General features: G+C 40.7%; 1 pseudogene across 2 annotated transcripts in view, besides 1 other annotated feature; it reads right to left on the reverse strand.

Moving 5' to 3' along the window:
- LOC101929322 (integrator complex subunit 4 pseudogene) overlaps positions 1–17,193 on the reverse strand; it is a 62,731-nt pseudogene that overhangs the window by 15,220 nt on the left and 30,318 nt on the right. The window lies entirely within an intron of this gene.
- Positions 1,633–2,631: an enhancer, noted in NCBI's record as "H3K27ac-H3K4me1 hESC enhancer chr7:64974100-64975098 (GRCh37/hg19 assembly coordinates)". NCBI's record gives its function as "activates a minimal SCP1, AML or CMV promoter by ChIP-STARR-seq in primed H9 embryonic stem cells {active_cell/tissue: H9 hESC(primed)}" and the evidence as "EXISTENCE:reporter gene assay evidence [ECO:0000049][PMID:30033119]".

Here is a 17,193-nt window from a genome sequence, read left to right on the forward strand (position 1 = left end):
CACCTGTGCACTAAATCAAAAGGCTATTCCTTCTGGAAGCAATTGTAAAGAATTTCTCACATTATCTTGACACGAAAACCAATGGATAGTGGGACAGAATGCAAAATCTTCAAGAATTTTTGTTGTTGTTGTTGTTGTTTTTGAGTCAAGGTCTTGCTCTGTGGCCCAGGCTGGAGTACACTGGTGAGATCACAGCTCAGTGCAGGCTCAAGTGCTCCTCCCGCCTCAGCCACAGTACTAGCTGGGACTACAGATGCGCACAGCCACCCCTGGCTAATATTTTATCTTTTGTAGAGACGGGGTCTCACTGTATTGTCCAGGTTGGTCTCAAACTCTTTGACTCAAGGGATCCAGGACAGGATAACAGGTGTGAGCCACCACACCTGGCCATGTGCATGAACTTTTAAGACAAACACAAGGCCCCACAAAAGGTAAGGTTTTCCCACCTAATTTCCAGGGGATCTTTTGGTGCAAGGATGAGAAGCCCTTAAAAGTACACAGACAACTCCAAAGATTCAAGACAGTTCATTCGGGCTGAGCCAGCCCACTGGGCAGACAGACCTTCAAGAAAGGCCCACGCATGACATACACCAGATGGCTCTCCAAGAATCGCTTCAGTCCTCAGGGTCCCTAAGGTACTGGACAGAGCTAGGAAAGCAAACCCATTTGCTTCTTCCTGCACGAAACCCCTTGAGGTCAAGACCCCACAATCAGACGAGGATGGAGTGGCTCACCCTCAGTCAACAGGCCAGACTCAAGGTGGTATAATGACTTAACCAAGGGTGTGGGACTCCAGGTCTGACTCCCAACTCAGTTCTCCTTTAATAACCACACTTTGGTAATTCTCCTTAACAGGGGTTCCTGGCAAGTCAGTTCTCCCTCGGGCCTTTGGTTTCCTCACCTACAAGATGAGAGGGCCGGACCAGATGGAAATTCGGGGGTAAGGGGATGTCCGCGCGCAGCCCACCCTCACCCTCCCCGCCCCACGGGACCCTAGCGCCTCCATCCCAGTTCCCACCAAGCACCCGCCCCACAAATCCTGCCCAAGGTGAGGGCTGGTCCCGGGTCTCTCGGCTGCCGCATCAGCGAGTGCAGGAGGGAGGGGAAGCCTCCAAGGGCGCGACGCGGGCTCAAGGATGCAACTCGGCCAGGAGTGAACTGGGGCCCCAAGGGAGGTGTCCGGGCCGCTGCTCGAGCCCAGCCCGGGTCCCCAAACCCCTTACCTCCAGGGTCCGTATCTCCTGCTCGGTGAGGTCGTTGGACACAGCGCACTTGGTGCGCAGCCCGCGCAGGCTGCCAATGGAGATGCCGATGAGCTTCTGGAGCTGTCCGCACTGCTGCAGCCCCGGGCTGGCCGGGGCCCCTGCGCCACCCTCAGCGGCCGCTGCATCACCCCCGCCACCGCCCTCCTTCTTCTCTCCCATCGCCTCCGCGCGCAGTGCCGCCCTATGCAGGCCACAGCGGCCGAGGCAGGGAGCCCGGGGCTCGGGCGCCTAGGCAAGGAACCCCCGAGCCGGGAGAGCCCCTCGGCGCTGCCCTTGCCAGGACGCCAGTAGAGCTGGCAGCGGAGTCTGCCGCTCCCGCCCTCAGAGCCGCGGCGGCGGGAGCAGAAAGCCGCGGCGGCAAAAAGCGGCGGCGGGGGCAAAAAGCCGCGGCGGCAGGGGGCAAAATGCCGCGGGAGCAAAAAGCCGCGGCGGCGGGGGCAGAAAGTCGCGGCGGCGGGGGGCAAAAAGCCGCGGCGGCGGGGGGCAAAAAGCCGTGGCAGCAGAAAGCCGCGGCGGCGGGCGCAAAAAGCCGCGGCGTCGGGGGCTAAAAGCCGCAAAAAGCCGCGGAGGGGGGAGCGAAAAGCAGTGGGAGCTGGGGCAAAAAACCACAAAAAGCCGAGGCAGCGGCGGCAGAAAACCTCGGCAGCGGGGGCAAAAAGCTGCAGCGGCAAAAAGCGGCGACGGGGGCAAAAAGCCGCGGTGGCAAAAATGCGCGGCGGCGGGGGAAAAAGCCGCGGCGGAGTGGGGCGAAAAGCAGTGGGAGCTGGGGCAAAAAAACCACAAAAAGCCGCGGCAGCGGCGGCAGAAAACCTCGGCAGCGGGGGCAAAAAGCCACGGTGGCGGGGGTAAAAAGCAGCGGTGGCAAGAAGCCGCGACGGTGGGGGCAAGAAGCCGCGGCGGCCCAGGCAAAAGGCCGCAAAAGCCGCGGCGACGGGGGCGAAAAGCCGCGGCGGCGGAGGCAAAAAGCCGCGACGGCAGGGGGCAAAAAGCTGCAAAAGCCTCGGTGCGGGTGAAAAAAGTCGCGGCGAGAAAAAGCCGCTGAGGCGGGGGCAAAAAGCCGCGGCGGCAGGGGCGAAAACCAGCAAAAAGCCGCCGCGGTGGGGGCAAAAAGCAGTGGGAGCTGGGGTAAAAAACCACAAAAAACCGCGGCAGCGGCGGCAGCAAGCCACGGCGGCGGGGGCAAAAAGCCGCGGCGGCAAAAACCCGGGGTGGCAAAAAGCCGCGGCGCCGGGGGACGAAAAGCTTCAAAGGCCGCTTCGGCGGGGGCAAAATAGTGGAAAGGAGGTAGAAGGCTGGCACAGCTTGGCATTGCTGGAGTGTGATGTGATAGGAAAAGTGCACCCGAAAACAAAGATGTAAGTGGGCTTGACTCAGTGCAGCTAAGAACCTAGATGTTATCTTGAGGGTATTAACTAATAAGCAGTTTAAATCAGAATGGCACATTCTGATTTGTTTTTTGTATGTTCACATTTGGCAGACATAGATACTGTTTGAAGAGAGGAAAGTCAGTAAATAGACGTAACAAACTTGAATATGTGCAAAGTCTAGAAACAAGAGACTAGGGGGATAAGAACCTTTCAAAAATGCAAGATTTGAAAACTGGCTGGGGGATGAGGAAAAGGCAGGTCTTTAAGGTCAATCCTTGTTTTGCTTTAAGTTGTTAGGGGGTGGTTTTATCACATATTGTAGAATATGTCATTTCAGTTTTGAACATCTTGAGTTAAATTGTCCTAACATATCTTATGAATTTGGTTTTCTTCCCTGGGAAGCTGATATTTCAAAAACTTAAAGACTATAGATTTCCAACTTGTATCCAATTTATAAAATTATCTCTAGGCTGCTGGTTTCAGGAGGAGGCTCACTGAATATTCTATTTGCAGAGAATATATCAGGAGTTAACAGCCTCAATTTTTGTGGACAACCAGTTAACTAAGCCACCTCTTAGTGTATTTAGTTGGGAAATCTTAGCTGAAGATATTCATTAATGAACCAACAGTGACTAAAAAATTCATTATTTAAGTACATTTCATTGTAATTAATTTGAATTTAAGTAGCCATATACAGCTAGTATTTACTACATTGAACAATGCAAATAAGAGGAAAAAATTAATAACCATCTCTAATATCACATGCCAAAATCCTAATCAATTTATTCTAGCTAAAGGAGTTTATCAGAAGCAGCAATTGAAAGTACCAACTAAACCAGTTGGGGTTAATTCACTGTCATTCTCTCAGAACCATCTCTTCTCTGAACAAAACAAGTACAAGAGTTAATTGTGAATCTGCATTTTCCTTGCCTATTTTAAGGTTTGGATGTTGACACTAATTTGTGAAATCCCGCCTGTGGTGTGATATTTGATTTTCCTTGCTTTTTGTTAGGGCAAGAATGCTTCAGCTCTTAATTTAAAATTATGTTTCTCCCTCCTAGGTTGAGTGAACTTAGAATGCATTCTCTGACATATCCAAGTTTTTGTTAATATGGATCTGGGGAAAAAAGCATACTTAATTAGCTAAGACTTCTTATTCTAGGCTTGACCCTGTGTTCGACATCTTTTGAATTTGTAGTTGCATAGGCTGCTCTCTGACACTGGTTGGTGATCTTGAAGCTATATTAACATTAGGGGAGGTGGTGTATTAGCATTAGAGGTATCCTTGCAAGGAAAAACTTGTCTTATCTCAATACGTCTTTTTTTTTGCACACAAGAAAGTCAATGTTTGAGTCTTCTAAAATCTTCCTATTTCCAAGTTGCAGAGTACCATTGATTCCTAAACAAAGATCTAATTTTTGACTCAGAGACGTGGCAAGGTAGTGAATAACCATTATAATTTAACAACCTTCAAGATAAAATTATCTCTCTGATATTTAGATTTTGCCCGATTATTAAGATATTTGAGTGTTTCTTTAAGAATGGAACACTCTAGTCTCTTGAGCAGAGATTATAAAGGCCTCAGATGATCATTTTTTATGCTCTTTTCTTTAACACCTTCAACACAGTTGGAAGCAGCCAATATTCCCCAGAGTTGTTGTGTTTTTTAAACCAAATGCATGGTTCAGTGGTAGAAAACTGGGCTGATCCAAGCTGTTTTCAGTAAACACTTCATTTCAGGTGACCTATTTCATATGAAATAATCTCTAGATCCTGTCTTCAAAACTAACTAGATCAGATAACCTACCCTAGATTTTCCCCTTTTAGGGTCTGTTAGCTGCAGTCACTTTTGTGAAAATGATTGCAGTGAAAAGATAGAGTTGTAGATGGGGAAAATGTTTTGACTAATTTAAGCATAGTGGTATTTAATATGAGAATTTAAGTTACACACATTTGAAAATTACAATGGAGTCTCTTGGCTGAGCTTTAAAAAAAATAGCGTTTAGGCTAAAAAGGGAACTGCTACCTCTCCTAAAATCAGAAAGATGTTACAGTAATTCTCCATTCTCTAGAATTATCAGGAAGCACCTTTGTGATGATTTACTTTTGCTCTTAGGAGTGTGAGCCTGTGTAGTCGTGGAACCATCAATTAGAATGATGGCTTTCTGATCCCAAAGTCATTCATTCTGAAAACAATATTTTTCATAAAATTGAAAGTGAGAAGTTTTGATCTTGCCATTCCCAAGTAACTCTCTTAATAAGAGGCATCAGCATGCTTCAGTGACAGATGTCACCTTCCAGTGCTGAGAGTCATCTTTGAGTTCTCCATTTCACTCCCTACACTCCAATTTAGCTGCAGTTCTTTTGGCCAGTCCTATGAAATACATCCTGGCCTAACGACTTCTCACCACTAATACCACTCATACTCACAGCATTCTCACCTAAGTCACTACCTTTTTTCTCTGGATTACAATAGCCTCCCAATTTATTTGCTCACATAACCATTTATTCTACACAGTGCACCAGATACACCCCTTTGAAATGCAAACGCAATCATGTTATTCTCTGGTGAAATTATCTCATACATTCCTATCGCATTTAAAATTAATTCAGAATCATCCCATGATTATCAAAACCCTACATGCTCTTCCACAACATGGTTTACTTCCAAGATATCTCTTCAAATTTTTTTTCGCTGTACTGAATTGGTGACTAATAGTCATATTTTTGTTTTTGTTCAAAAAGTCTTGACTTGTAAATTTTTCAGTTTCTTCTTTATCCACAGGTAACTCTTTCCTCACAAGGTGAATTGCTTGCTTCCTTGAGTTCTGCTCTCAAAGATACCCTTCATTTTCTACCTAATATTAATAACTGTAATCACTCATTATTCCATTACTATGCTCTATAGTGTATACAACTACTGTTCTTTGTCATGTCATTAACTAAATTATTTATTTGTTCCAGTAATGTATTCCATAAATATTGTACACCTAAAAATTATGTTATTTTTATTGCTGTATGCTCAGCTGCCCAATAACAGTTTGAGGATTAACATATTTGTTAAATGCACAAATACATTCTTTCAGAAGTGTTAGTTGAATAATTTTATATTAAACTCCCTATATACGTACAATATGAATTAGAGAATTCAGAATAAACATTCCATTGGAAAAAACTAAACAATTTGTTATAAAACATCCTTAAAAGCATCAGAAAGTTAATACAGCAATGAAGAATTACAGGACCAAATTAAGAATGGTATGGAAGCCTGTTTGTGAGGCTTATGTTTGGGTTATCTCTTTACTTAGAATGACTATAAATCTCAAAAGAGAACTAAAGGGAGAAATAACCATATCTACTAACATGGTAAGGGTATTTAAACATCTCTTAGTAATTGGGAAAGTTGAAAGAAAAGAAAAAAGAGAAAGGGAGAAAGAAACAGAGCGAAAGGGATAATGAAGGAGAGAAGAAGAGAAAGGAAGAGGAAGAAAAGTAAAAAGAGGAGGGGGAGGGAGGAAGAAAGAAAGGTGGAAAGAAAGAATGGTAAAGTTTTTAACATAATTTATCCTTCTGGAATATGAATGTTGGTCTATTTGATGGTGTCCCACAGATTCCTTAGTCTCTGCTCATTTTTTATTTTTTATTCTTTCTGTTTCTCAGAGTCAGTATTTTCCATTTTCTTATCTTCATGATTTCTTCTGCGTGGGCAAATATACTCTTAAATCCCTCTGTTGATTTTTTAATTTTTATCATTGTAGTTTTCCACTCCAGAATTTGTTATCTTTGTTGATATTCCTACTTTTTAATACTTTTTTCTGATTCCTTTCTTTCTTTGTTTATGTTTTCCTTTTGACATTTGAGTATAATTAAGAGAGTTGTTTAAAAGTCTTTGTCTAGTAAGTTTGATGTCTGGGTTTCCTTAAAGATATTTTCTGTCAATTTATTTTGTTCCTTTGAATGAGCCATACTTTCCCATTCTTTGTATGCCTTGTAACTTTTTTTGAAAACTGCACATTATAATAATTATAATTACTATGTGGTTACTCTGTAAATCAGACCCCCCCCTACAAACACACTAATGTTTTGTGGTTTTAAATTTTATTTACTTATTACATTGTTAAAGTTTTTATTTTTAGTGAAATTTTCCAAAGTGATTTACAAAACTGTTTGCTTTATAAGGTGTGGTCACCGAAGTCTTTTTGTTTCCTTAATAAATGTTAAGCTAATGTTTTGACAGTGATTTTCTTGTATGTCAGGAACTAAGCAAACAGGCAAATACAACAAAAACAAAAAGAAAAACAAGTAATCATTAGCCAGCAAAATATGTCTCTAGGCCATGCAGACTGGCTTTGTGCTGGGTTCTTTAAAGCCTGCACAAAGTGTATGTTCACTCTTGCACTGAGTGAAGTTCAAGTTCACTCTTGCGCAGAGCTTGCACTGAGGGGAGGGATCGGCCAAGGTAAAAGTGTAGGCTCTTCTTATGACATTTGTCATCATGTGGCTTAACCTATGCATACATGTGACTTTCTAGACTCTCCCATGTACGTGAATGTTGAATGTCTTAGTTTTCCAAATACTCTTCTCCAACTTTTCTTCCTGTGCTGAAGGTGATCTACTGTATGTGTAAACTCTAATTTTTGCCCTAAGCGTCTGTGGTTTCTTAGGTCTCCTTGCTGAGTTTCTTAATAATGTCCATTCCTTATCTGTTCTGTATTCTAGCAACACAGAAAAAAAAAGCCTTTCACTAGTCCTTCAGGTATCCCCCAGACCAGTCAGAACAGACACATAATAATTTGCGGGTAAGATCTTCTCTTGTTCCTTTGGGCGATGGACCAGGCTTCCTCACTGGGAACGTGGGCTTCTGACACTTCAGAACTGCCAATTTGCTGGGGCAAAGGCAAGTTAAAAATGTCGTAAAGTTTTCCAGTTGTCTTTTCCTTGAGTCTGCTTTCACTTGGTTGTTGTAATCTTTTGACCATTTTCCAGAGTTTTGGCAAAGTTTATTCGGACAGTTTCTCTTAGTTGTGTGATGTTTCTGTGGGGAAATGAAAGATTGCAGCTGTCTCCACTGCCATTTTGCTGATGCTCCTCTTTTGTGAATTTTTGCTTCATGTTCTTATGCTTTGTTATTAGTTCATGTATTAGTTTTCTAGGGCTGCCATAACCAAGTAACACAAACTGGGTGCCTTGAACAACATACATTTATTGCCTTATAGTCCTGGAAGCTAAAAGTCTGAGATTGAGGTGTCGGCAGGGATGGTCCCTTCAAGGGCTATGAGAGAAAGTCTGTTCTATGCCTTGTTTCTAGCTTCTGGTGGTTTTGTGGCAGTCTTTGGCATTCCTTGGCTAACCTCTGCCCTCATAATCACATGGAACTCTCCCTGTGTGTATGTCTCCCTCTACTCAAATTTCTTCTTTTTATAAGGACATCAGTCATATTGAATTCAGGCTCATCTGATTTTATCTTAACTTGATCACCTGCAAGGAACCTATTTCCTAATGAGGTCATATTCAGTGGTTAGGATTTCAGCATCTGTATAGAGGAAACAATTTAGCTCAAATCTGTGCATACATGATTGTAATAGCTATGTCTTCCTAAAGCGTTGACCTCCTTATTCCTACAATAAAAATTTTTAAAATCCTATTCACATTTTTAATAGTCTATATTGTGTTATGAGTATAATGAGTTCAGTGTTTTTATGATTGCTCTTTGCATGATATTTTTTGTCATCTTTTTACTTTCAATCCATTAGTATCCTTGCATCTCAGCGTATATTGGGATCACTTGTTTTAATCCAGTCTGACAATCTCTGCCTCTTGATTGGATTTTAATCTGCTCACATTTAATATTATAATTGGTATAATTCTATTTATGTCTGCCATTTTACTATTTGTTTTGTATATTTCTCAAATATTTTTCTTTATTGCTTTATTTTGCAATGAATGAATATTTTCTAAAATAGGGAACTTTAGATTACTAATGAAATATTTTACTATATATTTTTGAGAATTTTTGTTGTTGTTGTAAGTTTACCATGTAGGTATATGGAAAATTAATTACTCAAATCATCTTCCAATTTATACTAGTAAACTTTTAGTAATACATAGAAACATCATTCTTATTCAAATCTCTTTTATTTCCTCCATTTGAAAGTATTATCACTTTACACATTACATCTATTAAAGTTACAAAGCCAACAATGCATTTTAGTAATTATTACTTTACCATCTAGAGTGATTATCTTATCACGATACATTTTTCTTCCAACTACCTCCTTTTTAATGTTACTGGGAAATATGTTATACACATATTACATTTCTACATGTCAAATACTCAGCAATACGTTATGCACATATTATTATTATTATCATTGAGACGGAGTCTCCCTCTGTCACCCAGGCTGGAGTGCAGTGGCACTCCAGTGCCACTCCAGTGAGCTCCGCTCACTGCAAGCTGCATCCCCCGGCTTCATGCCATTCTTCTGCTTCAGCCTCCCGAGTAGCTGGGACTACAGGCGCCCGCCATCACGCCCGGCTAATTTTTTGTATTTTTAGTAGAGACGGGGTTTCACTGTGTTAGCCAGGATGGTCTCGATCTCCTGGCCTCGTAATACGCCCGCCTCAGCCTCCCAAAGTGCTGAGATTACAGGTGTGAGCCATCGTGCCCGGCCATTATACACATATTATTTTATAAACAATTTATGATAAAGAGAAAAGATGCATTTCTACTGTCTTTTATAATGTTAATATTACCTATACCAGTGCTTTTTTAAAAATGTGGATTCAAATGACTGTCTTGTGTAACTTGCTTTTAGCCTTAGGAATTTATTTTGGTGTTTTTGTTTTTGTTTTTTTTTTTTTGTATGGTAGGTCTGCCAGCAACAACTTCAATTAATATTTCTGTTTATCTGGCAAAGTCTTTGTGTTATCTTCATTTTTGAAAAATAATTGCTGGATAAGGAATTGGTGGCTGACAGTTTTTTTTCCTTTGCATCTTTTGAATATATTATTCTACTGCCTCTTGCCTTCCATTGTTTCTGTTAAGTCAGCTGTTAATCTTACAAAACATAGGTGCTCAAATAACAAACATGTGCATGAATATTTACAGCAGTAATAATCATACAGTCAAAAAGTGGAAACAATCCATAGGCTTGTTGACTCATAAATGGACACCCAATTTTTAGCTATAACAAAGAAAGAAGTACTTATACATGGTATAATGTGGGTGAAATTTGAAAGCATTAAGTGCACAAAAAGACAAATATTACCTGATTTTATTCAGATGAAACATCAGGAATTGGCAAATCAATTGGGATATAAATCAGATTAGTGGTCATTAGGGCTCAGGGAAGCAGAATAGGGTGTAACAACTTTATGGATAATGGGTTTTCAGAAGGGACAGGATGAAATTGTCCTGGAACATTGTGAATATACTAAAAGCAACTGCATTGTATGCTTTAAAATGGTTGTTATTAATTTTATATTATGTGATTTTTACCTTAAAAAACAAAAAAAAGAAAATAGCCTTACTCTATACATAATAAACTCAAGATGTGTTACAAATTTATATGTGAAATCCAAAATACTATAATATTTAAGGAATAGCTCAGTAGAATAACACTAAAATTTAATGTAATGAAATATTACCTTAAAAAAGAAAAAAGCACAGTAATTAAAAAGGGAAATATAGTTAATCTTTTTTCTCTCCAATAAGCATGCCATTAACTGAGGAAAAAGTCAAGCTGCAATTACGTAAACTACATTTTCTAAAACCATAAAGAAAATAAGAAATGAAAAGGGATTTGGGGAAAAAATCCAAAGGTACAGTCAACTACACAAAAAAAGCTTAGTCTCATTAATCATTATGAAAATGCAAATTGTAACTGAAATAAGATAAAACTACAATTCAAAGAGAAAGCCTAAAATTTCAACCCCCAAAAAATTCTGGGTTTTGGAGAGCTGGGATGGAATAGGGCTCCTAACCTTACAACAATGAAAGAACCCAACTAACTTCAAAGTCATGACTTTATTTTTATAGCAACCAGGTTGCCAAGAACTGAGTCAAAATGTGAGGGAAAACAAGCACTTGCAAGGAGAAAGAGGACAGATGCACTTACATAGGACAGATGCAAATAGACACCAGTATGACAAGTAAAGCTGGAATAATCATTAAATTCCTGAAGACAAAGTGGGGCCGGTCAGATTGGGAGACCGCTGACAGCTGCAGAAGTTGGGAAAGATCCATCATCTTGAAAACTTTTTCCCCAAAACCCACTGTGATCTCTCAAGCAATTGGTAAGGAATCCAAGAGAGTCTGTATATGATACAGATCAGGGAGAGCAGAACACTTGGGAGGTGACCAGGTCTTGGGGGCCGAGCCCTTATGAATGGGATTAGTGCCTTTATAAAAGAAGCTCAATGGAGTTCTTGTGTGCCTTCCACTATGTGAGGATGTAGAAAGAACGCCCCATCTATGAACCACGAAATGGGCTCTCATCAACACTGAATTTGTGAGCATCTTGACCTGAGATCTTACAGCCTCAAGAAGTGTGAAAAAAGAAATATCTATTGTTTTTTAGTCACCCAGTTCATGTTATTTTTTTATAAGAGTCCAAATAGACCAAGATATTCCACTTAACATGTAGGGGAAGGCAACAAAAACTGCCACACTTAGAATACTCCTGATGCTGGGAGTATGAAAACAGGAAAAACAAAACTGCTCTTGAAGGTGAAGGAGGAATACCACTGAGCTCACCAACACAGCCAGGAAAAGAACAGAAGTGTGAGAAGGCTACATTCCTGGGACCCTGAGAAAAAGCACCTGCATAAGACTGAGATGAAATTACCTACCCTAGTTACAACTGAAATTCCAAAAAGAAAAGAGGAAAAAATAACGGAGCAAAAGAAATATTTTTCAAAATAACTGCCAAAAATATTCTAAAAGAAGTGACAGAAAATCAAACTTCAGATATAGGAAACTCAGAGAATGTCAAATAGAACAAAAATAAATAAGAATTACATCTTGAAAAATCTTTAAAAAATCAAGTCTAAATTTTACATCTTGCTCCAAATATATAGAGATATAAATAGGTTATCATCAAGATATGGAGAATGCCATATCATGGAAACACTAAAATAAAGCTGTGGAAAGACTACATTGATATTAGACACAACAGAGTTCAGAACAAGAAATAGTATCAGAGATGAGAGATAATAGATAATACAATAATCAATTCTCAAGAAGTTGTAAACATCCTACTAATTAGGGTATGCAGCTAACAACAGAACCTCCAAATACATGAGGCAAAACAGGAAGGAAATCAAAGGCGAACTAGAAAAATCCAAAATTATATTTGCAGACTTCAACACTTTTGTCTTAGTAATGGACAGACTAGGCACAAACTCAGTAATCATATGGAAGATAAGAACAATATCACCAACAAGACATCCAATCTTCAATGGCAGATACTCTTTCAAGTGAAAAAAAAAAACAGTATGGCATATTCTCTAACAAACCCAGAATTTCTAATATTTGCGGTCTTCCTTCCTTCTTTCCATCTTCCTTTCTCTTCTCTTCCCTTCCCTTGCCTTCTTCCTTCCTTTTTTCTTTTCCTCCTTTTCTTTTCCTTTTTCTTTTCCTCTCTTTTCTTTTTTCTCCTTCCTTCCTTTTCTCTTATTCTTCCTTCCCTCCTCCCTCCCTTCCTTTCTCCCTCCCTTTTCTTCCTTCTTTTCTCTTATTCTTTCTTTCTCACTTTCTTTTCTTTCCTTTTCTCCTTTCCTCCCTCCCTCCTTTTATTCCTTCCTCGCTCCCTTCCTTTCCTCCTTTTTCCTTCCTTCTCCTCTTTATTTTCTTTGTTTCTTTGCCTTCCTCCCTTTTCCCATTCTCTCTTCCTCCTTTCCTTCCTCCCTTCCTTTCTTTCTTTCTCACTTTCTCTTCTTTCTTTCTCTTTCTTTCTTGTGTTCTTGCTTTCTTTTTAGTCCCTTCCTGCCTTTCTCCCTTCCTCCTTCCCTCCCTTCCTTCTCTCATTTCCTCCTTCTTTTCTTTCTTCTTTCTTTCCTTCCTTCCTTCTTTTTTCTTTCTTTCTTTTCTTTTCTTTCTCTTTACTACAATTCATATTATTTAAAAAAAATTAAGAGGGGGAGGCAGAAAAATAAAGAACACTTTAATCTGCAGGTAAATAGATTATGTCTGCTGCAGACAAAAGAATGGCCTCCCAAAAATGTTCATGTCCTAATTCCCAGAGTCTAACATACAAATATGTTAGGTTGCATGGCAGTGGGAAATTAGATTTCAAGTGAAATTAAGGTTGCAATAAAATGATGGAGAGATTATCTTAAATGGGTGGGATCAACGAAATCACAAGCTTCCTTATAAGTGAGAGAAGAAGGCAGAAGAAAGGCAACCATGGAGGTCGTAGCATGAGAAATTACTCAACATCACTGACTTTTAAGATACAAGAATGAGGACCCAGCGTGGTGGCTCATGCCTAATCCCAGCACTTTGGGAGGCCGGGGTGGGTGGATCACGAGGTCAGGAGATTGAGACCATCCTGGATAACATGGTGAAACCCCATCCCTACTAAAAATACAAAAAATTAACTGAACATGGTGGCACGTGCCTGTAGTCCAAGCTACTCAGGAGGCTGAGGCAGGAGAATCACTTGAGCCTGGGAGGCAGAGGTTGCAGTGAGCTGAGATCGTGCCACTGCACTCCAGCCTGGGTGACAGAAGGAGACTCCATCTCAAAAAAAAAAAAAAAAAGATATAAAAATGAGGTCATGTAAATTAGTTCAGCCATTGTGGAAGACAGTGTAGCGATTCCTCAAGGATCTAGAACCAGAAATACCATTTGACCCAGCAATCCCATTACTGGGCATATACCCAAAGCCTTATAAATCATTCTACTATAAAAACACATGCACACATATGTTTATTGCAGCACTATTCACAATAGTAAAGACTTGGAACCAACCCAAAGGCCCATCAGTGATAGACTGGATAAAGAAAACGTGGCACATATACACCATGGAATACCACGCAGCCATAAAAAAGGATGAGTTCATGTTATTTGCAAGGACATGGATGAAGCTGGAAACCATCATTCTCAGCAAACTAGCACAAGAACAGAAGACCAAACACCGCATGTTCTCACTCATAAGTGGGAGGTGAACAATGAGAACACATGGACACTGCAGGTGGGGGGGCATCACACACTGGGGCCTGTTAGGGGGTGGGGGGCTGGGGGAGGGATAGCATTAGGAGAAATACCTAACGTAGATGACGGGTTGACGGGTGCAGCAAACCACCATGGCACATGTATACCTATGTAACAAACCTGCACGTTCTGCACATGTACCCCAGAACTTAAAAGTATAAAAAAAAGTATTTAAAAAATCTTAATGGCAAACTGAAAACTGTATAACTAAATCATATAAATGTTAAAAGTGATGAAATTCAGTTGTAGAAACGCAACAAAGCAAAAATGCTAATAGAAACAAAATAGGTTTCAGTTACTCATTTTAGAGTAAAATAGGTTTTAATAACTGGACTTCCTTATTATCCAATATTATTTAAATTGTAATTCATATTTTAAGTTCATAGAGAATCAAAAAGCAGAGGTAGATTTACTTTCTATACATATGGAACATTTTAGAACAAATGATAGGATAACCCAATTCTTACATCTACTGATGAAAAACTTTCTTTCAAAAATAATATTCTTGCCCTTCTAAGAAGCAGTTCTATCCTGAGGTATGATTGTATAGGCATTTTTAAGACCTGGCACAGGTCTCTGGCACAAATTTACTGTAAAACGTGGACAATCAACATTACCTCACCAGGTCTGTTACCCTTGCTGATAATGAAGAGGCTGGAGTCAATCATCTCAAAGCACTGAAATTCTGAGATGTACGTGAGACAGACAGCATACGGAAATCACATGGGCTTTATAGGATGTCTATTACAAGATGGAGTAATGAGGACCAGCTTTTTCCTCCAAGGATGAGACAGAGACAAAATATATGAAACAACAGCATTCCAGACACTGGGCATCTGGCAATAAAGGACTGCAATCCCTGAGAGATGGGAAATAAATGAGGTGATCTCAATGATTACAATTCCGTTTAGAGAGACTCCAGGCACTAGGTCTTCTCTCCCTGAGTTGAGAAGATTGAGCTAGGAGTTTGGGAAGTCCAATGTGGCTAGAGTTCATAGAGCAAATTTCTGGAAAGGAGAGAACTACACAGAGAGACAGAGAGCTTGGGAGATCTGCAGATGGTCGCCTCAAGTCTTCAGCTGAATTCTGATCTGTGCGACAGAGACCATCTGAGGCCTGGAAAAGAACCACTCAAAACAATGAGAGGAAACAATCTCCAGAGGTCACACAGGGCCTATAAAACCACAGTTAACTTAGAAGAATTTTGCAGCCAGGTGTGGTGGCTTATGTCTGTCATCCTAAAACTCTGGGAGGCTGAGGTGGCCGGATTGCTTGAGGCCAGGACTTCAAGCCTGGCCTGGGCAACATGGCAAAACCCATCTCTACAAAAAATACAAAAATTAGCCAGGTGTGGTGGTGCCCACCTGTGGTCCTAGTTACTCAGGAGGCTGAGGTGGGAAGGTTGTTTGAGCCCAGGAGGTCAAGGCTGCAGCGAGCCGTGACTATACCTTGGCACTCCAGCCTGGGCAACAGAGCAAGATCCTGTCTCAAAAAAAAAAAAAAAAAAAAAGAGAGAGAGAAAAAAGAAAAGAAGAGGTTTTGTGCTTCAAGTAGTGAAAAAGAAGAGTTTTTTGCTTCACTAGTGGAGAAAAGTAAGCTGTAGGCTAAATGCTACTCTAATCCTGCCTAACAAAGTATAAGACCTGAAAAAATGGATCCCAGAACAAAGCTCAAAAATATTTATAGGAATAAAATAATGTTCAGTATCCAATAAAGTGAAATCTATAATGTCTGGCATCCAATTAAAAATTATCAGACATGAAAAGACACAGGATGGAATATACACAGGATGAATATATAATACTGGAAGAAAAAAAATCAATCAAAACCAACCTAGGAATCACAGAAATAATAGTCCTAGTAAACAAGGATAGTAAGACAATATAAACATATTATCTGTTGACAAAGCTAGAGGAAAGATTAAGTATGTTAAGAAAGACATGGTAGATACTAAAAAGACCCAAACTCTTTCTTCTTTTTTTTTGAGACAGGGTCTTGCTCTGTCACCCAGACTGGAGTGCACTTGTGTGATCATGGCTCCTTGCAACCTCTAACTCCTGGGCTCAAGCAATCCTCCTGCCTCAGCCTCCCAAGTAGCTGGGACTAAAGGCAATGCACAACCATGTCTGGCTAATTTTAAATTTTTTGTAGAGATAGGGTCTCCTTATGTGGTCCAGGGTGGAAAAAACCCAAATTCTAATCAAACTTCTAGAGACAGAAACTACATGTCCGAGATGAAAAATATACTGGGTGGGATTAACATCAGATTATATCTTGCAACACTCAAAGACAAAGCAATAGATACTATCCAAAATCAAACACAAAGAGAAAATAAAAACTGGAGAAAGAAAGGAAGGAAGGAAGGAAGGAAGGAAGAATAGAGCATCAGTGAGCTGCAAAACAATGTCAGTATCCTAATGCATGTGTAATGAAAGTCGCCAAAGGGCCTGTAGAGTCAGAGAAATTTAAAAAAATAATAGTGGCTGGGTATGGTGGCTCACACCTGTAATCCCGGCACTTTGGGAGGCTGAAGCGCGCAGATAAGTTGAGCTCAGGGGTTTGAGACCAGCCTCGGCAACATGGCAAAACCCCGTCTCTACTAAAAATACAGAAATTAGCCGAGAGTGGTGGCGGGCACCTGCAGTCCCAACTACTGGGGAGGCTGAAGCACGAGAATTGCCTGAACTCAGGATGCAGAGATTGCAGTGAGCCAAGATCACACCACTGCACTTCAGCCTGGGCAAAACTCTGTCCCCGCCACACCCCCCGAAAAAAAAAGAGAGAGAAAGAAATAATAGCAAAAAAAAATTTCCAACTGTGATGAAAACTATTTGATTCAAGAAGCTCAACAAACTCCAAACAAAAGAAACATGACATGAACTATACTATACCTAGGCATATCATAATCAAATTGTTTAAAACCAGTGATAAAGAGAAATCTTAAAAGCAGCTTGAGATAAAAAGACACATTATATACAGAGGAAGATAAAAACGACAGCAGATTTCTCAACAGAAAACTATGGAGCAATATCATTAAAAGACTGGTAGAGGCCACGCACAGTGGCTCACGCCCGCAATCTCAACACTTTAGGAGGCCAAGGCAAAAGGATCACTTGAGCCCAGGAGTTCAAGACTGGCTTGGACAATATAGGGAGGCCCTGTCTCTGCAAAAAATTAAAAAATTAGCCGGGCATGGTGACATGTGCTTCTGGTCCCAGCTACTCGAGAGGCTGAGGTGGGAGGATTGCTTGGGTCCAGGAAGTCAAGGCTTCAGTGAGCTGTGATCACACCACTACACTCTAGCCTGGGTGACACAGTGAGACCCTGTCTCAAAAAACAAAAAAGT

The sequence above is a fragment of the Homo sapiens genome, chromosome 7, assembly GCF_000001405.40.
Source record: "Homo sapiens chromosome 7, GRCh38.p14 Primary Assembly".
NCBI classification, from domain to species: domain Eukaryota; kingdom Metazoa; phylum Chordata; class Mammalia; order Primates; family Hominidae; genus Homo; species Homo sapiens.